Here is a 26,043-nt window from a genome sequence, read left to right as displayed (position 1 = left end):
ACTGAAGTGCATAGAGGGGAATTAACTTACTCAAGTCACACAGCAAAGATGAGACTTCAGCCCAACAGTCTGGCTCCAGATCCCATACCTTTGGGATGGTGTTCTGTTTCCAGTCATCTGTCTTTGAATCTCAAGGGTCAAACAGGATGTTCCTGACTGCACCCCACCCCAAGATGGGTCAGTGATGGGAATGAAGGAGGAATCTAGAGGTGAAAGGGTGAAGACGTGCCCAACCCCTGACACTTGTGAGAGTGCCTGGCACATAGCAGAAGAGAGTAGGGGGAGGATTCAGATAGCAGCTGATGGACAAGCAGCCTGGGCAGAGTCAGAGGGCTCAAAAGAGGAAAAATAGGAGCTGCCTGAAGTTAGGGAAAGGGGTCACAAAAGCGATCAACTGGAAGGGGGAGACATAGGGTGGGACATTAGCAAGAAAGGAAACAGAACTCCTGAGAGCCTGCCAGGGTATAAGCTGCACCCTTCTATCCTTGTGTTCTGAACTGGCCAGGGACCTCGGTCTTGGGACACTCCCAGACCAAAAGAAAGGATCTGCCCCTATGGTTGCTTCTCACTTAGCCTCAGTCGTACCTCTTAAATCCGTTCTTAATCCTGGTCCCTCTCCTGCTCAAAAACCTCCCATGGCTCCACATTGTCCACAGGATAAAGTCCATACTTGGGCTCTGAGAGACCCTGCTATAAGCATGGAGGCCCTATGCTCAGCCAAAGAGGCAGTCAGGTTCTTGGTTTCAGGGAAAACATCCCGCCTAACCCACCCAGGTTAGGCCCCTTCCCTGAAGCCTCCCAGTCCCCAAGAGCCCCCTGCAGGCTGTCAGTGAGGCCCAGGCAGAGGTGACAGCACCGTTTTATTCATGACAATCTGCAAAAAAACAGGTGGATGGGTCAGAAAGTCACTGCAAGCTTACATTCAGGGGCTCCACCCGCAGCCAAAGCCCGCCCTCGGCGCGCATGATCAATTCCAGCTTCCTGCGGGGCTCAGTGTGGTCTGGCAGGAACCGGAAGTGCAGCAGCATCAACGCCAGGACCACTTTCATCTCCGCCATGGCGAACGCCTGCCCGATGCAGTTCCTGCAGGCGGGAGTGGGGACTGTGACTGTGCCCAAGACCCGCATTTGGGTCCCATCAACCCAGGAACCTGGCCTGGGACCCCCAACTGCACCCAGCTCAGCCTGAGAGAGAGAGAGAAAGACTAAGCGTGCCTGGGACTCCCATGTGGGCTTGTATGTCCCGGAGACTGGGCCTGACTCCAGCTCCCAGCTCAGACCAGCAGATGGAGAAGGGGATTTTGAGCACTCCGCGGACCCCTCTAGGACCTACTCATCCCCATTCTATGGACGTTTTCCCATAAACTGTGAAGGAATGGAGGGAAGGAGAGCTGGAACTGGGACCATCTGCAACGTCCCCCTTTTTTTAACTCCCGCACCCATCATCCCATCCCTGCCTCAGACACAGGGCGCTCTTACCTGGGCCCTGCGGAGAAAGGAATAAAAGCCAGAGGTGACCTCCCCTTGCTGTTCTCTGGGTCAAAGCGGAAGGGGTCGTAGACCTGCAGGTGAGACAAAGAAGGTTTGCCAGTGGGATTTCCTATGTCCAGCAGCCTTGGAGAGACACTTGTGTGTGTTTTGGGGTGAGGTGATGTTGGATTTTCCTCATCAAAACCCTGCCCCCTCCACTAGGAACCTTGGAATTCACACACACACACACAAAAGTAGAGGATGGGGGTGGTGGTGGTGAATGGGGAAGGCAGCACCTCAGGATCCGGCCACACAGTTGGGTTGTGATGGACCCCTATAATATCGATGAGGCAGGTAATGCCTGTGGGAGAGAAAGGGGCAGTCAGGACAAGGATCCCCTGAGGGAACCATCTTCCTACCCGGGAGGCTTCTCCCCCTGAGGCTGTGGGCACCTTTGGGGATGACTCGGCCATCTGGGAGAACAATGTCCTGGGTGCAGCATCGGGAGATGAAGGGAGCTGGGGGATGTAACCTCAGGCTCTCCTTCACGCACATGGTCAGGAAGGGCAGCTGGGCCAGGTCGTCCCTAAGGAAACACCCCAGCCCCAGTCATTATCAAGGGAACAAATACACAACTCTCCACCTTTTCTATTTGCAAATGAGACCTTTTCTCCCTATCACAAAATAAACTCCACGGGGATCAAACATTTGAGAATTTTAAAAAGCAGAAAACAATTAGAGAAGCAGAGAATTAGAAAAGTACCAGAGAAAATTTAGCCAAATAGATAAAAATAAATACTCTGAGGAAAACACCCAGAAGCCAGCGGTAAAAAATTAACAAACTCACATAAAAATAAATATTGTCTATGGCAAGAAAGCAAACTCAAATGCAAATGAATAACAAACAAAATACCCAGATCCAATGTTTTGCTCTTATTTAGCGTGATGCTAGAGATACCAGCAAGTGCAATTAGGCAAGGGAAAAAAGGAGAGTCATGCAATTTGTTTTTTTTTTTTTATTATTATTATACTTTTAGGGTACATGTGCACAATGTGCAGGTTAGTTACATATGTATACATGTGCCATGCTGGTGTGCTGCACCCATTAACTCATCATTTAGCATTAGTTATATCTCCTAATGCTATCCCTTCCCCCTCCCCCCACCCCACAACAGTCCCCAGAGTGTGATGTTCCCCTTCCTGTGTCCATGTGTTCTCATTGTTCAATTCCCACCTATGAGTGAGAACATGCGGTGTTTGGTTTTTTTGTCTTTGCGATAGTTTACTGAGAATGATGATTTCCAATTTCATCCATGTCCCTACAAGGGACATGAACTCATCATTTTTTATGGCTGCATAGTATTCCATGGTGTATATGTGCCACATTTTCTTAATCCAGTCTATCATTGTTGGACATTTGGGTTGGTTCCAAGTCTTTGCTGTTGTGAATAGTGCCGCAATAAACATACATGTGCATGTGTCTTTATAGCCGCATGATTTATAGTCCTTTGGGTATATACCCAGTAATGGGATGGCTGGGTCAAATGGTATTTCTAGTTCTAGATCCCTGAGGAATCGCCACACTGACTTCCACCATGGTTGAACTAGTTTACAGTCCCACCAACAGTGTAAAAGTGTTCCTATTTCTCCACATCCTGTCCAGCACCTGTTGTTTCCTGACTTTTTAATGATTGCCATTCTAACTGGTGTGAGATGGTATCTCATTGTGGTTTTGATTTGCATTTCTTTGATGGCCAGTGATGGTGAGCATTTTTTCATGTGTTTTTTGGCTGCATAAAGTGTTGGAAGTTCTGGCCAGGGCAATTAGGCAGGAGAAGGAAATAAAGGTTATTCAATTAGGAAAAGAAGACGTCAAATTGTCCCTGTTTGCAGATGACATGATTGTATATCTAGAAAACCCCATTGTCTCAGCCCAAAATCTCCTTAAGCTGATAAGCAACTTCAGCAAAGTCTCAGGATACAAAATCAATGGACAAAAATCACAAGCATTCTTATACACCAATAACAGACAAACAGAGAGCCAAATCATGAGTGAACTCCCATTCACAACTGCTTCAAAGAGAAGAAAATACCTAGGAATCCAACTTACAAGGGACGTGAAGGACCTCTTCAAGGAGAACTACAAACCACTGCTCAATGAAATAAAAGAGGGTGCAAAGAAAGGGAAGAACATTCCATGCTCATGGGTAGGAAGAATCAATATCATGAAAATGGCCATACTGCCCAAGATAATTTATAGATTCAATGCCATCCCCATCAAGCTACCAATGACTTTCTTCACAGAATTGGAAAAAACTACTTTAAAGTTCATATGGCACCAAAAAGGAGCCCGCATCGCCAAGTCAATCCTAAGCCAAAAGAACAAAGCTGGAGGCATCATGCTACTTGACTTCAAACTATACTACAAGGCTACAGTAACCAAAACAGCATGGTACTGGTACCAAAACAGAGATCTAGATCAATGGAACAGAACAGAGCCCTCAGAGTTAATGCCACATGTCTACAACTATCTGATCTTTGACAAACCTGAGAAAAACAAGCAATGGGGAAAGGATTCCCTGTTTAATAAATGGTGCTGGGAAAACTGGCTAGCCATATGTAGAAAGCTGAAACTAGATCCCTTCCTTACACCTTATACAAAAATTAATTCAAGATGGAATAAAGACTTAAACGTTAGACCTAAAACCATAAAAACCCTAGAAGAAAACCGAGGCATTACCATTCAAGACATAGACATGGGCAAGGACTTCATGTCTAAAACACCAAAAGCAATGGCAACAAAAGCCAAAATTGACAAATGGGATCTAATTAAACTAAAGAGCTTCTGCACAGCAAAAGAAACTACCATCAGAGTGAACAGGCAACGTACAAAATGGGAGAAAATTTTCGCAACCTACTCATCTGACAGAGGGCTAATATCCAGAATCTACAATGAAGTCAAACAAATTTACAAGAAAAAAACAACTCCATCAAAAAGTGGGCGAAGGACATGAACAGACACTTCTCAAAAGAAGACATTTATGCAGCCAAAAAAACACGAGAGTCAGGCAATTTGAAATGTGGTAGTAAATGTATCATTTTGGCAGATAGTGATTTTATACTTAGAAAACACTAGAGGCCCCACTGGAAAACGTTTATAAACATTTAAGATCAAGCAAAGGAGCTGAATTCTCTGCTTAATCTTTCTTCTTTTGCAGTGGCTATTTAAAATTTTCATACCGTCTACAATTATCTGGTTCAGAATTTGAAAACTATAAAACATAATTCACTCCTATGGCCCAATGCCATTTACTTCTCCCCACACGTTGCCAGGTTATTATTTTTTTTAATGTATGCTTTCTGGGCTGATTTTAAGCATCTTAAAAAATTATATAGGAGCACACCATCTACTGTAGACACTATTCTGTATCTTTTTTGATGGGGGGAGGGAATGGAGTCTCTGTTGCTCAGGCTGGAGTGCAGTGACACAATCTTGTCTCACTGCAACCTCCACCTCCCTGGTTCAAGTGATTCTACTGCCTCAGCCTCCCAAGTAGCTGGGACTACAGGCATTCACCACAACAGCCAGCTAATTTTTTTTTTTATTTTTAGTAGAGATGGAGTTTCCCCAATTTGGCAAGGCTGGTCTTGAACTCCTGATCTCAAGTGATCTGCCCACCTTGGCCTCACAAAGTACTGGGATTACAGTCATGAACCACCGTGGCTGGCGTGTATCTTTTCTCTCATTTAACAGTTTATCACTTTTTCATAGCCCCTGGGACTTACGTCAAAATAAGGTTATCCCTACTCTGGCGCTATGAAATAATTTTCTCATGGTTCCTTCTAGAGCTTTTAGGACTCTTTTAGAAAAAAATGATTAATCTGAACATTATCTTGTCATAAGATATGAGAACAAGGTTCAGTTGCCTTTTTTCCAGAAGGCTTTCCAGTTGCCCCAAGAGCTTTTACTTAATTATCTATATTTTTTCTCTTGATACAGATACCATCTTTAGCATATACTATGTTCACTGGGCATAGAATTTATATGCATAAATCATTAGTTTTACCATATAGAAATAACCATCAAATGAAAAGATAATAAAAGAAAAGATACTAGTCATAATAATATAAAATACCTGGATTAAACTTAAAAAGAAACATGAAATCTCTGTATTTCATTATAAATTTCCCTCAATCCAAATAAAACATACACTTTATCACACAATAAATGTTTGCAGGGGTTGATTTAACAACAAAAAAAGCCACTCTGCCAGATATTAAAACCCATTAGAAAGTCAGAGTATTGGGAGGCCGAGGTGGGTGGATCACTTGAGGTCAAGAGTTTGAGACCAGCCTGACCAATGTGGTGAAACCTCATCTCTACCTAAAACAAGAATTAGCCAGGCGTGGTGGAGGGTGCCTGTAGTCCCAGTTACTCGGGAGGCTGAGGCAGGAGAATAGCTTGAACCAGAGAGGCAGGAGGTTTCAGTAAGCTGAGATCGCACCACTGCACTCCAGCCTGGGCGACAAAGCTAGACTCCATCTCAAAAAAAGAAAAAAGAAAAGAAAAGTCACAGTAAGAAAAAATAGTCTGGCAATGCCATAAAAACGGATGCATTCAAAAGACTAAAAAGGTCAGAGACGGGCATGTGAATAAGTGGAAACTTCCCATCTGCCAAAGGAAGCCCCACAAAACTCTGGGAAATAGCTGGGTAGTGTGGTACAAAAGAAAATACGAACAAATGTAACTTCATAAAAATTAACCAAAAGCACCCCCCAAAAAAGTCAAAAGGCAATCTTTTGCAACAAAAAAACAGAAAAAAAAAACATTAATTGTGATACACATTCTTATAAGTAAATAAGAAAAAAGAACCCAAAGAAAAACAGCAGAAAATATCAGATGACCACTCCCATAGAAAGAAAATAAATGGCTTATCAACTTGGGCAAAGGATGTTCTTTCTCACTCTTATTTAAGAAAATGCTCATTAAAAGATGAAATATGAAGATGGACAAAAAATTTAAATTTAATAATACAATAATACTATTGGCAAATTTGTGGGAAAGCTAGTGCCATCAAACTCACCTAATATAGAGATGGATTTGCAATCATTATTACAACTGTAGAATGCAAATGGTCTTTGGTTCAACAATTGCACTTTTGGGAATTTGTCCTGCAGTGATGTTTATACATATGAGCAATGCTCACTGTACACACATGCCGATTGCACAAGTTTAATTTAGCAAAAGGATGAAACAAGCCAAATATACATGGATGGGGAGATGTTTAGATAAACATCCACACAATGGAATAGTATACAGCTACACAAAAGGAGAAAAAAAGGATCACTAGTCCTGTCACACAATGCAGACCAGAAGCTAAATCAGTACAGAGACTCTGGAATGCAAATTGGCCATACCTCCAATGATTGGAAATGTTTACGCAAGTGTCTTCAACAAAGGGATGGGCCAAATAAAACATGGAATGCTATTCAGCACTCAGAAAAAATATCTGTCAGACACAGTATTGAGTGGAAAAAAACATGTTCCCAAATGTCCATATATGTAAATACCATAGGACAAAAAATATAAGGAATATAAGAAGAGATCGATGATAGAAAGATATGTAGATAGATGTAAACAGACAGACAGATAGATGACAAATAAGTATCTCTACAGGCCCCCTTGGAGAAAGGGAGGATATTAGGTGGGATAGCAGGAATGTCAAGAATAACCCTTGTCTATCTGTGATGCCTCATTGAGTGCAAGAAGAAACTGTTCTCATCATTGCTTTTGTAATTCAAAACTCATTTTCCGTGTGGTGTATATATACAAAATGGAATGCTAGTCAGCCTTAAAACAGAAGAAAATTCTTTCATTTGTGGCAATCTGCAAGAACCTAAAGGACATTATGCTAAGTGAAATGAGCCAGGCACAAAGAGACAAACAGCACATAACCTTAATTAACTGTGAGATCTGAAATAATTAACACAGAAATCATAGAAACCAAGAAGAGAATGGTGGTTACCAGAGAAGGGAGGAAGAAAGAATGGAAAGACATTGGTCAAAGGGTACAAGTTTCCGTTAGAAGGAATAAGTTTTGAGATCTATTGCATGCATGGTGACTACAGTTAATAATAATAAATTTCTCAAAATTGCTAAGAGAGCAAATTTCAAATATTCTCACCACAAAAATGATGAGTATATGAGATGACGGGTATGTTTATTAAATTGACTTAATCATTCCACGTTGTATACATATATCATAATATCACATTGCACCCCATAAACATATATAATTAAAATTTGCCAATTAAAAATAAAAACGAACTAATTTTCCAAAACTCATATTTTTAGAAAAAGAAAAGCTCCCAAAGATATATTGTTAATGTGCAGATCTGTCTCTTCTTTACTTCCTTTTATTTCAATAGCATTTGGGATATAAGTGGTTTGGTTACATGGATGATTTCTATAGTGGTGAATTCTGAGGTTTTAGTGCACCCATCACCCATGCAGTGTATACTGTCCCCAATATGCAGTCTTTTCTCCCTTACCCGGCTCCCAACCTTGCTCTCCGAGTCTCCAAAGCTCATTATATCACTCTGTATGTATTTGTGTCCTCACAGCTTAGCTCCCACTTATAGGTGAAAATATATGGTATTTGGTTTTCTATTCTTGAGTTACTTCACTTAGAATAATGGCCTCCAGCTCCATCCAAGTTGCGGCAAAAGACATTATTTCATTCCTTTTTATGACTGAGTAGTATTCCATTGTGTATATATGCCACATTTTCTTTATCCACTCATTGGTCAATGGGCAGTTAGGTTGGTTCCGTACCTTTACAATTGTGAATTGTGCTACTATAAGCATGCATGTGCATGTGTCTTTTTCATATAATCACTTTTCCTTTGGGTGGATACCTAGTAGTGAGATTGCTGGATGGAATGGTAGATTTACTTTTAGTTCGCTAAGGAATATCCTTATCGTTTTCCACAGAGGTTATGTTAATTTTCATAGCAGTGTATGAGCATTCACTTTTCAATACATCCACAACATACATCTATTGTTTTTTGACTTTTTAATTATGGCCATTCTTGTAGAAACAAGATGGTATCTCATTGTGGTTTTAATTTGCATATCCCTGATGATTAGTGATGTTGAGCATTTTTTCATATGTTTCGTGGCTGTTTGTGTATCTTCTTTTGAGAATTATCTGTTCATGCCCTTTGCCCACTTTTTGATGGAACTAATTGTTTGTTTGTTTTTTTTCCTTGCTGAGTTGTTTGAGTTCCTTGTAGATTCTGGATACTAGCCCTTTGTCAGATGCATAGTTTGCAAATATTTTCCCCCACTCTGTAGGTTGTCTGTTAAGTCGGCTATTATTATTATTATTATTTTGTTGTGCAGAAGCTTTTTAGTTTAATTAAGTTCCACTGATTTATTTTTGGTTTTGTTGCATTTGCTTTTGTGGTCTTGGTCACGAATTCTTTGCCTAGGCCAATGTCCAAAAGAGTTTTTCCAAGGTTATCTTATAAAATTGTTATGGTTTCTGTCTTAGATTTAAGCCTTTGATTTTTGTACAAGGTGAGAGATGGGGATGCAGTTTCATTTTTCTACATGTGACTGTCCAGTTTTCCCAGCACCATTTATTGAATAGGGTGTCTTTCCCCAATTTATGTTTTTGTATGCTTTGTCAAAGATCAGTTGGCTGTAAGTATTTGGCTTTATTTCTGGGTCCTCCTTTCTGTTCCATTCATCTAAATGCCTACTTTTATACCAGTACCATGCTGTTTTGGTAATTGTAGCCTTGTAATGTAATTTGAAGTCCGGTAATGTGATGCCTCCAAATTTTTTCTTTTTGCTTGGTATTGCTTTGACTACACAGGCTCTGTTTTGGTTCCATATGAATTTTAGAATTGCTTTTCCCAGTTGTGTGAAAAATGATGAAGGTATTTTCATAGGCATTGCGTTAAATCTGTAGATTGCTTTGCACTATGATCATTTTCACAATATTGATTCTTCCAATCCATGAACATGGGATGTGTTTTCATTGGTTTGTGTCATCTATGGTTTTGTCCAGCACTGTTTTGTAGTTCTCCTTGTAGAGAGCTTTAACCTCCTTGGTTAAGTATATTCCTAGGTATTTTTTTTTTTTTGCAACTGTTTTTTTGTTTGTTTGTTTTGCCCTGTGAGAGTCAGAGGGTGGTTCTTAGGTCACTGGGGTAATGATCCAGAGGTGAGTATAACTGCCTCTGCCTCACAGAAGAGTTTGACAAGGGAGTGGAGAGTAGCAGGTGGCAGTAAGCCTCATCTAGCTCCCATGCAGTTGGCACAAGGTGGGTCTCACACATGCAGTGTTCCACTCATAGCACTGGATTTAGATCCAGGCAGTCTGTGCACAGAACTCAGCCCTGCCCCAGGCCATAAGCTTTTCCCACAGAAATAGCAATGCTTTCAGGCCATGTCCTTTTTTGTCCCTGTCCAAGGCCAGGCACCCAGCTTCTGAACTCCTGTCTGCAGCACACTTCCTGCTTGCCTCCCGGGTTCTGGTCAAGGGAGTTCATCCCCACTCGAGGTTATATCAAGAAATTCATTTGGGCATTTCGTTCAACCTGTGACCTCACCTGAGCTAGTTGTCTGACTTCCCCAAGGTCCCCTGTGAGATACAATAAGGAATGGCTTCCCTCAGTCCATGCTGGAGATTGTGAATGCCTGCAAGGGACTTCCTGCTGCTGCTTCTACTTTTATATTTCTTACCACTCCCTAAATCAGTTCAAGCCCTGGATAGAGTTAAGGCCTTCTCCTGTGGTCTGGATTTTCAGATTCCCCAGTGAAGATGTGTACCTAGGAAGCAGTCTCTCCCCCTCTTACTCTGAGGATTCACAGTTTTTCACCTGTCTCACAGAGTAGAATGCAGCCTGTAGCTTCTTTTGAAGGGTTTGTGGATTCTTCTGGTTTTCCTGTTAAGTCCCTGTGTTGTTTCTTGGGAAAAGAAAGCTTACACTGTGAATCTCTACACACTATTCTGTCCTTCCACATGGGAGAGGCACACTGACATTGCCTCCAACCCACCATCTTGGGAAAAAGTACTGTGTCTATTTTATACACTCTTATTTGTATAGAAGAAGTCTGTGTTCTTATAAAGTGGGCATCAAGATAGCCATCTTCTGGAGGGACACACAAAACCATTGATGGTAGAAACTACTAGGGTGACAGTTAAGAAGGAAGCTCTTTTTTTTTTTTTTTTGAGAAAGAGTCTCACTCTGTTGCCCAGGCTGGAGTGCAATGGTGCCATCTCAGCTCACTGCAAGCTCCGCCACCCGGGTTCACGCCATTCTCCTGCCTCAGCCTCCAGAGTAGCTGGGACTACAGGCACCTGCCATCACGCCCGGCTAATTTTTTATACTTTTAGTAGAGACGGGGTTTCACCGTGTTAGCCAGGATGGTCTCGATCTCCTGACCTCGTGATCCGCCCGCCTCGGCCTTCCAAAGTGCTGGGATTACAGGCATGAGGAAAGCTCATTTTTATAAATGTTTTAGACACTTTTTTTTGTTTACAAAGTGCACAGTATTACTTGATATCTTGGTTTTTAAAAGCATAAAAAGTGTTGCCACCTTTTAGGACTGCTGTGCTGAGCAAAGGCTTGGACGGGAGGACACGGCCTCCAAAACACATGTCCAGTCCATTGCCTCCTCTCCATCCCCAGCCCCTGCCCTGGCTCAGGTCCCAGAATGTCTTCACTGGGACTTCATTCTACAGCTGGTCCTCTCTCCACAGTAGCTCTGAAAAGATCTTTCTGGTGCCCAGATATGACCTGCCCCTCCCCTGCTCAACCACTTGTTATGGCTTCCCATTGCCTTTGGGTTAAAATGGAAGCCATTACCATTTTCCCATATTTTCCACAGCCAGACTCTGCTTTCACTACCATAGTTATTATCTCATCACAACTCAGTTCCTTTCTCTCTCATTCTCTCTCTGTCTCCTTCTGTCTTCCCTCCTCTCTTTATCTTGCTCTCCCTCACTTTTCCTCCCTCTTACTTCTCCCTCCCTTTATAACCATCTCCTTCCCTGACACACAAACCTCTCTTTCCCTCTTCTCCCTCTCTCCTGCTCCCTCTTTTTGCATTTTTGCCCAGACTTTCTTTTTGACCTAGGGCACTACTGCATCCAAACACCTACTGATCACCATTCAGGGTTTCAGTTGAGGCACTTTATTATTTTGGTTTTTTACTTTTTTAGAAATGGGTTCTTTCTATATTGCCCAGGTTGATCTTAAACCTGACCTCAAGTGATTATCCCACTTCAGCCTCCTCGGTACTTGGTATCACAAGCGACAGCCACCAGATCTGGCTTGAAACACTTTCTATCACACTTTCTGTACTCCCAGCCATGCTTCTCTTGCTCTCAACTCCATCCTTGCCTATGTGGACTGGGAATGTCTTGTGGGGGACTGTTCCTACTAGGCTGGGAGTACCTGGAAAACACATCCATAGGCAGGGTTCTTTCCAGGTCTCCAGAGCACAGAAAGGTGTGGGAACAGAACTGGCAATGGAAAGGCATGTGGAAGAGTTTGCTGAATGAAGACTGAATGGATGAACGATGCAGGTGTTCTAGACAAAAGATAGATGACTTTTACCCCCAGGTCTCCCTTAGGACTCCCTGGACTGGACCGGAGGGTAGGAATTAGGGAACAGAAGAGTAAACATTCAGGAAGTAAAGATGTTTGAAAAAAATATGATAATTCAGAGTAAACAAGAAAGGAGTGAAGGGAAAATTCATTGACTGAACATGTCTAGATGTCATCGTCTGCCTTCATATATTGTCCTTAGTTCTCTCAGCGGGCTAGGACTCTCTGTCCCAAAAGTCTGAAAACTTTCCCCTGCTAGCCAGGTTGGATACCAAGTTCTGCCTCTGTGCTCTGCTCCTAGTACTACTAAGCAATAATGGAAGAATTGACAAAAACAACTTCTCCCTCCCCACCTGAGCAAACATTCAAGAAGTGAGGATTTTCGAAAAAACTGATATTTCTGGGAGAACAGAAACAGAGTGGAGGGGAAGTTCATTTGCTGAACATGTGCAAAGTAGCATTATCTGTCCTCACACATTGTCACCAATTCTCTTAGCAGCCCGGGTCTTTCGGTCCTAAAGGCCTGCAACTTTTCCCCTGACAGCCAGGCTTGGTATCAAGCCCTGCCTGTGGTCCTCTGCTTTTATACCCACTAAGCAATAGTGGAAGAATCCACAAAACAACTCCTCCACCCCTCCTCACTTGGGGAGCAGAACCAATGATGGGCTCAGGAACAGGCCAGAAGAACTTGCACTCACCATTCAATCTCTTTAGGATCGCGGTCCTTCAGAAGCTCTTGCACCTCCTGTCGGCAGCGCTCCTGGTATTCTGGGTGCCTCGCAAGGTTGTACAGGACCCAGGAGAGGCCACTGGCCGTGGTGTCATGGCCTGAGGAGCAGCCAGGTAAGCTTGGCTTCAGCACCGGAGGGTGGACAGCGCCCAGATATTGAGGCCCTCAGGAGGATGGAGGGAGGGGGAAGATGGGCAGAATGGAGTGATCCAGGGTCCACCCACCCGGATCCTGAGATGGAGGGACCTCTGTCTCCACTGTAGTCCCACACTGGGACCCTCACCTCCAAACATGAAGGTGTCAGCCTCTGCTCTTATATCCTCATCTGACAATGCCTTCCCATCTTCATCCTGAAGAGAAAGCAAGACACACACACACACACACACACACACACACACACACACACACAAATTATACTATCTCTGAGACTCCGGAGTCTAACCTGAGATAATCTCTGAAGCTCTGATCTTCCAGAAACTCAAATGCACTCTGCACGTCTAGATCTCTCTTGTTCACCATCACCAAAGCCCCAACTCCAAGGGCTTCCCCCAGATCCTTTGCCTCCTCTTTGGACCCTGGTGACAGGAATCAATGGTTCTCGAATATTTTCATTTTTCTGCATAATACAGACTTTCAGAGAAAAAGATACTGGCAACCTGGGGTACAGGATATTTGAATGGCAATTTGCCTTGGAGGTTAGAAATTATGTATTGCTCCAAAAATATTTGCTGACATTCTAGAGTGGTAAACCCAGAGAATCTTATCTTTCCAGAAGATATTTGGGTTATAAAACTCTAGAAATTGCCATCTCACAGGAGAGGGGTAGTTTATACGCCAGAACAAAGCATTCTCTCTCTCTCTCTTTCTCTGTCTCTAACTTTCACCCTGTAATAAAGAAGGAGCATATGAGCTAGCTGTCCTATATAAGCTATAATACTCATAATGTGGGGGCCCCTCTCCTTGGTGCAAATTCTTGTGCATTTACAGGTAAAAACATTGTGTTGCCCTAGGAATGGGGAGCCAGCACTACCATCCTACTCCACCTGCTGTTACTGCTGTAAATAATTAATGGGCTGCTGTGATCCAGGGGTTTGGTGCATCTTTTATCATAGATACAGACATAGACAAAGACATAGACATATAGATACACATAAAAATGTGAAAGACTAACACACTAACTTATAAGTTGAATAAAATATCATGCTCCTCACAGTTTCAGAATTAGCAGTGCCCTGTGGGCTGCATGCAATAAAGTCATCTCTAAAACCTATCTGTGACCTTCCCTTTCTCAAGCATCTTCCATGGCTCCCAGTGCCCTTTGGATCAAAACCAATTTATTTCACCTGACATTTGACATGAAGCTCTATTCTCTCACCTAAATTCAGATCATAGAGAAACCTACCTTGCTCAGCAGAAGCACATCAATGAAATCCAAAGTCTTGGACTTGGCTTTGTCTTTGAAAAAATCATCAATACCCTGAGTGGGGAGGGTGCGACGCCGCTCCCGGATGACAGCGTCTGTGAAGTCATGCACCAGGCGGCAGGCCCTGTGGAAGCGCCGCCCGTCATGGGAGAGGTAATACAGAAAGTCCATGTGCTGGAGGATATGCTGGCTTCTTTTCTCTACAAGGGCACTGAGCTCCAAGATGGTGGCAATATATTCACTGGGCCTCCTGCAGAGCAAGGGCAGAAAGGGAGGCAACAATGTAACGTATGCAAAGCCCCAGGAACACCTCCCACCAGCAGCCAGGAGCTACCTCCCATCAGGAAACTGAGTATCTAGAAATAGATGGTCCTAGAGATACATGGTGGGTATCAGTCATGAGACTGACTCTCTAGACTGTCTTCTCTCCCTGCATCCTATCTCTGAGAGAGCTGTCTCCATGCACCTAGGCACCTAGAGTATAGCTTGGACACCATGCTTCTCTCCTCTGTCTCCCATCCAGTATGCAGTACTGATCATTTTCCTTACCAAAACTGTCCACACAACTCAGACTTCATCCTCTTCCAGTTCAGCCCTGCTCCAGCCCCCAGCATAACCAACTCTCTCTCTCTTTCTCTCTCTCTCTCTCTGTCTCTCTGTCTCTCTCTCTCTCCCTCTCTCTTTCACCCTGTAAGAAAGAAGAAGCAGCTGGGCACAGTGGCTCATGCCTGTAATCCCAACATTTTCTGAGGCCAAAGAGGGCACATCACCTGAGGTCAGGAATTTGAGACCAGCCTGGACAACATGGTGAACCCCCTCTCTACTGAAAATACAGAAATTAGCTGGGCGTGGTGGTGGGCTATCAGTTTCCCACACAGCTCAGCTCTTATCACATCCATCATCAGCTGAAACTACAAAAGGTCTCTGGAAATGTCTTGATAAACTTCATACCACTTTTCCTGATTTTCAGTGCCCTTAATATCTAGCCCCTACTTCCACAACCTCATTTCTACTGTCTCTTGCACATGCTTGGCTCATCCTAACCTTCTTGCTTTTACACACATATTTCTACCTGGAAAGACAGCACTTTCTCCTCTTCCTCGACCTTCAAAGCACAGCTATGATACAAATCCTCCCGAAAGGTACTTCTGGTTACTTTGCTCATTCCTCCCTCCCCAACTTTCTCCCTTTGGTCCATGGATTCATATCCCAGGCCCTAGGAAGGAACTCACTCCTGACAATGGCTGTCAAAGCTGAAGATGCATTTCTGTAGACTGTCCAAGGTCATGAGGCTGATGTGCTCAAACATGTCCAGACGACTGCTGCCCTCTGAGGCCAGGTGCTGCCACTTGTCCTGGCCAGAGAAGGGAAGAGAGCTAGAGCTGGGCCCTGCCTCCTTTGTGCCCCTCCCCAGTCCCAAACATCAGGATGGACTCCCCCACAACCAGCCTCCTGGTCCTCTGCCCCAGGAACCCATTGCCAGCGAGGACCAGACTGGGATGCGAGCAGAAACTGTTAGTATAGGAGATGAAGACCCATGGCTTGGAGTCAAGAGACCTGCATTCAAGTCTCAGCTCTGTCTCCTATGCTCTATGTGCCCTTGGTCAACATATTGCCCTCCTCTAGGTCCCACCTGTCAAATATTCAATAACGGTCAAGGTGATCTGCTTTGGGGCCAGATAAACCAGGATAGAATCTCTGCTCCACCAGTCCTAGCTCACTTCCTGGCTGGTTGAACTCTGTCCAGCTCCCTAATCTCTCTGGCCCTCAGTTCATCATCTGCAATAGGACAAAAATAACCATAACCTCACAGGATTATTAAAATTAACTTAGACAACTTATATCCTGGCATTGGGACATGACATTTTCTCAGGCATATGATGAGTAAATGTTTGCTTTATTCATCTCCATTGTAATAAATTCATTTCAAAAATATCCCTGTGTTGGAAGAGGCACTTCTTCATCAGCCCTGAGCATCCTTGCTGCGTATGCCACCAATGCAAGACTGTGATGTTCTTACCTGAGCCATTTCTCAGAGTTGTATTTGCAGATAACCACCTGGAGAGATAAGGCAATGACTCCTCCTGGACCAATATCAGGCTTGTTTCTGCCACTATTAAAGTAGATTCCCTAAGCCTAATGCCCATTGTATGTCATGCAATGTACTGCATGAGCAGGCTAATGTAGAGGCCCACCAGTGTCACCCCCATGGAATTTAGGTTGACTCAGAAAAAGGATACAAACCAACAAGAAGTACATGTTGCTTATTGTGCCATGAGTAATCAACTACCCTTTGTCTCTGACCCAGGAATCTGTTAGAATGCATGAGACAGTAACAAGCTAACTTATCAGTTTGCATATTTAAAACAAATCCTAGACACTTCACAAAATCCTGACCCCCAATTCTTCACTTCTCCCTGTATTCGTACCCTTTCCACAGTAATTTTTCAGCAACTCCCATTAAGAGATGCGTTCTATTTTACACCCCTTTGAGTCTGTACTGGACTTTTGACTTTCGACTTTCTTTGGCCAGTACAATGTGGTGAAATGATGATGTAATAACTCTAATAGACTCAAACCTGGTTGAACTTTGAAGTATTGCAGAGACAATGTCCACAGACATTGCAGCCTCCTCTCAGTTTCTCGGAGCCCAGTCTCTGCCATGTGAACAACAGGGTGCCTTCTGGAGGCAGAGAATCACATGGGGGAAAGTCCAGGTGTCACAGCTGAGCCCATCCCAGATGAGTCTGAAGGTACTGAAGCCCCAAACGTGAATGAACTGAGCCAGGATCAGCAAAGCTGCCCCCCGACCCACAGCTGCTCATGTGCCAAGAGTGATCCCTTCCACATCCAGAAGAACTGGCCAGCTGTCTCACAGACTCGTTAGCAATTGTAAACCCTTATGGCTCTAAGCCAATGAGTTCTGAAGTGGTTTATAATCAGCAATGACTACTACACAATCTTCATTTTTACTCTCTTGAGTTTACAGGGATTCTGTGAGAAAAACACAGAAACTGACACCTTCTGAGAACCTACTGTGTGCCAAGTAAATGACCTTTCAAGTAGGGATTATCATCCCCATTTTACAGATGAGGAAACCAAGGCTCAGAGAGGAAGAGCAATGGCCCAGTGCCACCCAGAAGAGCCAAAATTCCAGACCAGATGTGTCCATGGTCCCTCCACCCCAAGACTCCATCTGGGACCCAGACTTCAAGGGACTCACAAGCATGATGTTTGCACTCTTGTTGAAGATCGTTATATAGGACTTCAGGATGTTGAAATGGAAGGCGGGCGTCAGCATCCGACGGTGGCGGCTCCACTTGTCACCGCCACTCAGCAGTATCCCTTCTCCTAGTAGGGCAGCCAAGGACAGTGGGCAAGAGCAGCACTTCCCCTACCCTCCCCGCAAGGTTGTCCCCAACCCCTTTCACCTGCAGGTACTCACCCAGCCAGGGCTTCAGGAACCTGATGAAGAGATTATCCTTGGGTGCAATGGCAGCTGACATGAACGAGGACCATCAGGGGCCATGTAGAGGGCAAGAGAGGAACTTCAGGTATAGGGCAAGGCTGCCTACCAGCACTTTCCCCACTCCATGCCCAGCATAGCAGGAAGGGGGCCAAGGGCAAAGGACGAAGGGAGGATAGAGGAAGAAGGACCAGCCCAGGCTGCAACAGCACAGTAAAGCTATGACACAACCTAACAGGTCATAGCACACCCCAGCACGCCTTGACATGGCTCCTATATATCCCAACATGTTCTGCAACAACTGAACACAGCTCCACACTCTACAAAATACCTTTAAAGGACCTCGGACACCCTGTCTGCCATAGCACTCTCTGTCATCTCCTGACATGGACCTGAGATAGTCTGACATGACCTCTGTGTACCCCACAGACAGGCCCCAGATAGGGTTTAAATGTGATTTCTTAAATGTCCCAGACATGTCCCAGGTGGAACCAAGAGTTTTCTTCAAGCGTGATTAGAATGGATTCCGAAACCTGGCTCAGGGAGACTAAAATAATAACTCTGACAATTCCAAAGAGACCCTAGCTCCCAGACCTTGGACAAGCTACAAACATGGCCAAGAGATGACAAGGAGGAGAAAAGACAATTTCAAATCACATGTCAGAGAAGAACCAGAAAGTCTCTGACATGCCCCAAGTGTCCTCGACCACAGCTGAGCCACACACATGATGACTTCTCCATATGATCCCAGGTTAAACAGAAAAGATATAACCAGGTATAATATTGAAACTATAGGCGGCTATTTATGGGACCCCTGGGGGTAAGGTGAGCTTTCGGACAAGAACTGAGCTGCTAGGACCCATGGTTGACAGATAAGAGAACGGCTGCCTTAAAAGAAAAAGTGATGCAGAGAAATGGTGAAATTAAGAAAAGGAGACAGATCCCTGATAATGTTCATTGACACCTGGATTCAGCCATGCCTGAAGACCACCCTCCCTGAAATTTACACTCCTTTGACTCTCTTTATTTGCTTAGAGCACACGAAGTTGAGTTTCCATCACTCACAACTGAAAGAGACCTCAGCAGCCAGAGAGCTGGTGACCTGCACAGAGTCACTAAGGATTTGGGGGTCAGAGCCATAGATTTTGTGGGATGCTGCCACTTCCCTAGCTCAGCCTGGTGTGTCCAAGGATGAGAAGAGCAGAGAGCAAGGGGAGGTCAAGCAGCTGGTGTGGGTTCTCCTATTGGAGAATCCTGAAGCCCATAGGAGGAGAGCAGGAAACTTAGGGTGGATGAGTGATAGGATGAGGTAGAAGGAACTGACCCATCATAGGTGGATGTCACATAAATAGCAGCCCAGATTCTCCACCAGCCACAAATCCTCCTACCGCTTTGGACTGAGGGATGGGCAAGGCTGGTGCAAGGACTGGCTGGGACCCCAAATACCAATGATGCCCACTGCATCATCCTGCCCCACACTTAAAAAATCCTACTTATTGGTCTAGACATAGCTCCAACAACTCTTCCTCCAGGAAACATTCCAGCCTGCCCCAGCAGACACCCAGTTCTCTGTGTTGTCATACCCATCTCTCTCTTGCCCATTCCTGACCCTATGAGGCTGGAAATGTCTCTGTCTAGACCCGTGTCCTTAAGCATGGGGGTTCCTTCCAGAAAGGGCCCTGAATTGAGGCCTCTTGGAGCCCCAGTGGTGCCCAGAACACCAAGACAGGGAGCAGATGGCAATGGAGGGAGAAGACATTGAGAAGGAAGTCTCAATGAGGGGCACGAGTACTCAAGGAGGGACGTGGGTACTGCAGAGACCACACAGAAGCTTGGTCTGGCACCCACCACCACAAGCTCTGCATGGGTACCTGAGGCATTGGTGATAGACCGGATGGTGTCAGGGTGGCATAAAACGATGAAGGGGATGATGGGACCCAGCCATACCGTAAAGCCCTGGGAATAGGTGGCCGACATCTGGGTCGAGTTCTTCAAGCCCTCCTCTGTAGGAGTGATCTGAAAGCAAGTCAAGGGCTGTCACTTCCTGTGATGGTTAATTTTAGGTGTCCACTAGACTGGGCTAAGGGATGCCCAGATAGCCAGTCAAACATTATTGCTGTGTGTGTCTGTGAGGGTGTTTGAGAAGAGATTAGCATTTGAAGGTAAACAGGATGGAAATAGTAGTGCAGAGGAATGAGTGAGTGAGGAAAGGAATGAGTGAGTGAGGAGAGGAATGAGTGAGTGTGGAGAGGAAGGAGTGAGTGAGGAGAGGAATGAGTGAGTGAGGAGAGGAATGAGTGAGTGAGGAGAGGAATGAGTGAGTGAGGAGAGGAATGAGTGAGTAAGGAGAGGAATGAGTGCATGGGTAGAGGAATGAGTGAGTGAGGAGAGGAATGAGTGAGTGAGGAGAGGAATGAGTGAGGAGAAGAATAAGAGTGAGCAGAGGAATGAGTGAGTGAGCGAGCAGAAGAATGAGTGAGTGAGGAGAGGAAGGAATGAGTGAGGAGAAGAATGAGTGCATGGGTAGAGGAATGAGTGAGTGAGGAGAGGAATGAGTGTGTGGGTAGAGGAATAAGTGAGGGAGGAGAGGAATGAGTGAGTGAGGAGAGGAATGAGTGAGTGAGGAGAGGAATGAGTAAGTGAGGAGAGGAATGAGTGAGTGAGGAGAGGAACGAGTGAGTGAGGAGAGGAATGAGCGAGTGAGGAGAGGAACGAGTGAGTGAGGAGAGGAATGAGCGAGTGAGGAGAGGAATGAGTGAGTGGGTAAAGGAATGGGAGGAGGGGAATGAGTGAGGAGAGGAATGAGTGAGTGGGTAGAGGAATGAGTGAGTGGGTAAAGGAATGAATGAGTGAGGAGAGAAATGAGTGAGTGAGGAGGGGAATGAGAGAGTGAGCAGAGGAATGAGTGAGTGAGGACAGGAATGAGTGAGTGAGGAATGAGTTGAGTGAGGAGAGGAATGACTAAGTGAGCAGAGGAATGAGTTGAGTGAGGAGAGGAATGACTAAGTGAGCAGAGGAATGAGTGAGTGAGGAGAGGAATGAGTGAATGGGTAGAGGAATGAGTAAGTGAGGAGAGGAATGAGTGAGTTGGTATTGGAATTAGTGAGGAGAGGAATGAGTGTGGGTAGAGGAATGAGTGAGTGAGGATATGAATGAGTGAGTGAGCAGAGGAATGAGTGAGTGAGGAGAGGAATGAGTGAGTGAGGACAGGAATGACTGAATGAGGGGAGGAATGAGTGAGTGAGGAGAGGAATGAGTGAGTTGGTATTGGAATGAGTGAGTGAGGAGAGGAATGAGTGAATGGGCACAGGAATGAGTGAGTGAGGAGAGGAATGAGTGAGTGGGGAGAGGAATGAGTAAGTGAGGAGAGGAATGAGTGAGTGAGGAGAGGAATGAGTGAGTGGGTAAAGGAATGGGAGGAAGGGAATGAGTGAGGAGAGGAATGAGTGAGTGGGTAGAGGAATGAGTGAGTGGGTAAAGGAATGAATGAGTGAGGAGAGAAATGAGTGAGTGAGGAGGGGAATGAGTGAGTGAGGAGAGGAATGAGTGAGTGAGGAATGAGTTGAGTGAGGAGAGGAATGACTAAGTGAGCAGAGGAATGAGTGAGTGAGGAGAGGAATGAGTGAATGGATAGAGGAATGAGTAAGTGAGGAGAGGAATGAGTGAGTTGGTATTGGAATTAGTGAGGAGAGGAATGAGTGTGGGTAGAGGAATGAGTGAGTGAGGATATGAATGAGTGAGTGGGCAGAGGAATGAGTGGGTGAGGAGAGGAATGAATGAGTGAGAAAAGGAATGAGTGAGTGAGGACAGGAATGACTGAATGAGGAGAGGAATGAGTGAGTGAGGAGAGGAATGAGTGAATGGGCACAGGAATGAGTGAGTGAGGAGAGGAATGAGTGAGTGAGGAGAGGAATGAGTGAGTTGGTATTAGAATGAGTGAGTGAGGAGAGGAATGAGTGAATGGGCACAGGAATGAGTAAGTGAGGAGAGGAATGAGTGAGCCGTCTCCCTTGGTTCTCTGGGTTCCCAGACCCCAGCCACCATCAATACACAGCTCCCTGAACCCCTACTGGAAGTCCCACCCCTCTGGAAGTCCACCCACCCTGAGACGCCAGACCCCATCCAATCCATTGAGGGCATGAACAGGACAAAAGGCAGAGGAAAGGAAGAACTTGCTCTCTCTTCTGCTGCTGGGATATCCGTCTTCTCCTGCCCTCAGAACTCCAGGGACTCAGGCCTTTCTGGACTCAGGCTGAATTTACACCACCAGTGTCCCTGGTTTCTGGCTTGCAGATGATATATCATGGGACTTCTTGGCCTCCATCATCACATTATCCAATTCCCATAATAAATTCTTATCTCTCTATCTCTTTCTGTCTCCATACATACATGCATTAGAGATAAGAAGAAACACCCTATCTGTTTCTAAGGAGATTCCGTTTCTAGGGAGAACCCTGACTAATGCACCTCCCTAGATGAAGCCACAGCAAGTCCCCCCACAGCCACCGGATGTGGTGCAGCCTCTGCAGTGAGCAGCGTGTCTGGATTCTCAGCAGCTGCAGTGGGTTTCTGCTGACTTCTGCTCCTTCTCTCTTGGAGCTGTCCCCAAGATCCAAGGGTAAATACCAAAGCAGAGAGAGAAGACAAGCTGTCTGCTCAAGAGGATGTGTTTTCTCATCCTGGATTGATTTCAATCTGGGGATTGCTATATGGGAAGGTCCCCATGGAAGGAGGTTTGTGGGCAGCAGTGTGGCCTCAGGACATATCCCTAGAGCTGGTTGCCATATCCTTTTGTGTCCTGGTTGGTCCACATGGGCACTGGTTCCTCCCACAGACAAAGGGCCTGCGTCCTGAGGGCCCTCCATTCTCAGCAGCCTCCAGGGGAGCAGAGGTGACTCTAATGTCCATCAGGATGGCAGCTCCCACCTAGGAGAGCCTCACTTATGCCAGGTTCTGTGCTAGTGCCTCCTGTGCACCTGTGGACACACCGATCAATCCTGCCTTTTGTAAGTGAGCAGACAGAGGCCACATCCCCCAAAGGGGAGGGCCGGTCCCAGTCGGAGGGAAAGGTTTGGGAGTACCAAGGACGGCTTCTGAAAGGGGAAGGGAGTGGCCAAATTATATCCAGGTTGGGCTACAGGGCTCACTGGGACATCTTACTGGGGAAGAGCACATTGTCCCTGGAAGGAGAGGGTGTGGGAGACTGCCTGCACTTCTCTTCTGGTCCAGCTGTGTCCCTCCGTGGGGAAGGAAGTCAGAGATAATTCCTGCGGGAAAGCAGCAGCCCAGAGATGGGCAGATACAAGCAAATGGGCCATGCAGGGAGCAGCCTGTCTATCGGGGCTCAGAAGGCTTCAAGTCCAGCAGTGGAGAAGGTGGGAATGCCAGGAGAGCCCTGCTCTGTGCACCCCACAACCATACAGGAGCCTCTGGGAGGGGCACTACGGTAGGGAAGACAGGCAGGAAAAGGATCCAAGCAGGCTGAGGTGGGAGGACAGGGAGGTGAGAAAGGTTTGGCATGGAACTGCAGAGGAATGAATGAATGAGGAAAGGAATGAGTCGGTGGGTAGAGGAATCAGTGAATGAGGAGAGGAATGAGTGAGTGAGGAGAGGAATGAGTGAGTGGGGAGAGCAAAAAGTGAGTGGATAGAGGAATAAGTGAATGGGTAGAGGAATGAGTGAGTGGGCAGAGGAATGAGTGAGTGATGAGGGGAAGGAGTGAATGAGGAGAGGAATGAGTGAGCAGAGGAATGAGTGAGTGAGCAGACGAATAAGAGTGAGGAGAGGAATGAGTGAGTGAGGAGAGGAATGAGTGAATGAGAGGAATGCGCGAATGAGAGGAATGCGCGAGTGAGGAGAGGAATGAGTGAGTGAGGAGAGGAATGAGTGAGTGGGTAGAGGAATGAGTGAGTGAGGAGAGGAATGAGTGAGTGGGTAGAGGAATGAGTGAGTGAGGAGAGGAATGAGTGAGGAGGGGAATGAGTGAGTGAGGAGAGGAATGAGTGAGTGAGGAGGGCAATGTGTGAGTGGGTAGAGGAGTGAGTGAGTGGGTAGAGGATTGAGTGAGTGGGTAGAGGAGTGAGTGAGTGGGTAGAGGAATGAGTGAGTGAGGAGAGGAATGAGTGAGTGAGGAGAGGAATGAGTGAGTGAGGAGAGGAGTGAGTGAGTGAGGAAAGGAGTGAGTGAGTGGGTAGAGGAATGAGTGAGTGAGGAGAGGAATGAGTGAGTGAGGAGAGGAGTGAGTGAGTGGGTAGAGGAGTGAGTGAGTGGGTAGAGGAGTGAGTGGGTAGAGGAATGAGTGAGTGGGTAGAGGAATGAGTGAGTGGGTAGAGGAGTGAGTGAGTGGGTAGAGGAGTGAGTGAGTGGGTAGAGGAGTGAGTGGGTAGAGGAATGAGTGAGTTAGCAGAGGAATGAGTGAGCCATCTCTCTTGCTTCTCTGGGGTCGCAGACCCCAGCCACCATCAATACCTAGCTCACTGAGCCCCATTCCTGCTCCTCTGGAAGTCCATCCACCCTGAGACCCCAGACACATTTTGCTGTCACACTCACCAGGCCCAGGTGACCCCAAAACCAGTTCCGTTTTGGGGGCTGTGGGAAACACTGGAGCCGGCGGCAGTTGTTATAGAAGGCATAGGTCCAAGCCAGGATGCGGGCGAGTAGCCAGGAGCCCACAACCAGCAGCAGGAGTAGCCATGGGGACGTTGCCACCGGTCTGAGGCCCAGCCAGGGCAGGCTCAGCAGCGACATCCTGCAGGGCAGAGGGGATGCAGGGTGAGGACCTGAGGCCCAGGGAAGAGCTCCGGGGACAGTGTATAGGGGCGAAGTCAGGAACTGCTGGGGGCAGGGCAGGGAGGGCTCAGGGGTGAGTAAACGAGGGCTGAGATCTGAAGTCCAGAAAGTCCCAACCAAAACCAACAACTAAGTGGCCTCCAGTAACCTGGTAACCACACAGAAAGGGAAAGAGATGGGCCGATTAGAGTCCAGAAGGGCCCCACCTGAATCCTTGGGAGTTTGCTAGGAGTCCAGTTACCAGGAAACCCCCAGTTTCCCATGCCAGCATCTTGGAGCCACCCCAGCCTTAGGCAGTCCCCTCTTCATCCCAGGCCAGGACCTTCCAGCCCTGCCACCCCCAGCCTGGTACCTTCTGTCGGGAGCAGCTTGTCCCACACAACCTCTTCTCCTCTTCTGCTGGGAGGTCTTTGGCCCTGGCCCCTGATCTAGGGAAGGCCGTAGGAGGCGGGGCTGGGCTGGGCTGGGCTGAGGCAGCCAATCCCCACAGCCTGGGTGTGTCTTCCGTGCCTGGGCAGCCAGCCAAAACCTGGGGTTGGGCCCACTGGGTGCAGCTCAGGGTGCCCCAGCACGAGCACTGAATTCTCAGGTCTCAGTACCTTCTTGGGAGTTTGCAGGGGAAGTTGGAGGGTGGTTAGAGGGGACTCTGAACCCCAAGTTTACCTCCACCCTGCCCTTCCAAGACAAGGGTGTTCAGATAAAAGCATATACTTATCATGACAGTTGGCAGCCAGCTGAGCTGGGCCAGGCCAACCCTTGTCCCAGATCATCTGGGCTCCTCTCCAAACATGGGCGGGGAGGATGTCAGGCACTACATCTTGGTGCAGACTTAGGAGATTCAGAGACAGAAGCCTCTCATCTCTGGCTTCACAGCCTGGCAAGAGTTCAAGTCCTGCCTCCTGGCAGCCCAGGGCCTGAGTTGAGGCCTGACTGCTTGAAGCAGGAAGAAAGAATCCAGCCCCAACCCCGCTGAGGATTACCTTCGTCAGATTCTGGGGATAAAGAGCCCAGCTGGAGGAGCAAACCTAGAAGCTGGGCTCAGCTTAGGAGGACAGAGCGGAGGCACAGGGGATGAGGCTGAGAGGGGCCTTGAGCTGACGGGGTCCAGGCAGGGGAGGGCAGAGCAAGGGGATCCCGAGTGGAGTCCTTGTTCTGCCCTGTCCTTTCTCTGACTGTGGGCAGTGTGGCCATCCTGGGCTCAGGCTTCCCATCTGGGAAATGGGATGTCAGATGAGGCCTTAGAGGGCGACGGAGGAAGGCTCCTAAGAAAAGGGAGCTCCAAAAAGAGGGACTGAAGGGAAGGGGATGACAACTAGCACTTGAGCTGCTGTGTGCCTGTCTCTACTCCATGCGAAAGACTGTACGGAAAGCACTACTGTGTGCACCTACTGTGTGCCAGTTTCACTATATAAAGTGCACTTACTGTGTATCAGATACTGTACATAAATTCTGTCTACTATGTGCCAGGTATGCCACATAAAGCTCACCTACTGTGTGCAGCATGCTGTACATAATGTAAGCTTACTTTATGCAGAGTACT

At 46.4% G+C, this 26,043-nt stretch overlaps 1 protein-coding gene across 9 annotated transcripts; it reads right to left on the bottom strand.

The window, feature by feature from the left end:
- On the bottom strand, positions 817-24,904 carry CYP4F12 (cytochrome P450 family 4 subfamily F member 12). 9 transcript variants are annotated; one of them, NM_023944.4, is made up of 13 exons: positions 24,856-24,904; positions 24,264-24,462; positions 19,586-19,730; positions 17,694-17,747; positions 17,472-17,599; positions 15,481-15,602; positions 14,228-14,498; positions 13,109-13,175; positions 12,794-12,923; positions 1,922-2,055; positions 1,766-1,830; positions 1,479-1,561; positions 817-1,083 (listed from the first exon to the last, which is right to left on the bottom strand). In NM_023944.4, the coding sequence occupies exons 2-13, from the start codon at positions 24,459-24,461 to the stop codon at positions 906-908; spliced, it is 1,575 nt and encodes a 524-aa protein (NP_076433.3). In that variant the 5' UTR covers position 24,462; positions 24,856-24,904; the 3' UTR covers positions 817-905. The 9 variants fall into 9 exon arrangements, 8 of the variants coding, with proteins under 8 accessions (NP_076433.3, XP_011526510.1, XP_016882661.1 ...); XM_011528208.3 differs by lacking the exon at positions 24,856-24,904 and having other exon boundaries at positions 19,662-19,730; positions 24,264-24,280; NR_117085.2 differs by having other exon boundaries at positions 1,479-1,830; positions 17,472-17,747; positions 19,662-19,730.

This window comes from Homo sapiens, chromosome 19, assembly GCF_000001405.40.
Source record: "Homo sapiens chromosome 19, GRCh38.p14 Primary Assembly".
In the NCBI taxonomy this organism is placed as follows: Eukaryota; Metazoa; Chordata; class Mammalia; order Primates; family Hominidae; genus Homo; species Homo sapiens.
This window is presented reverse-complemented; position numbering and strand designations above follow the sequence as displayed.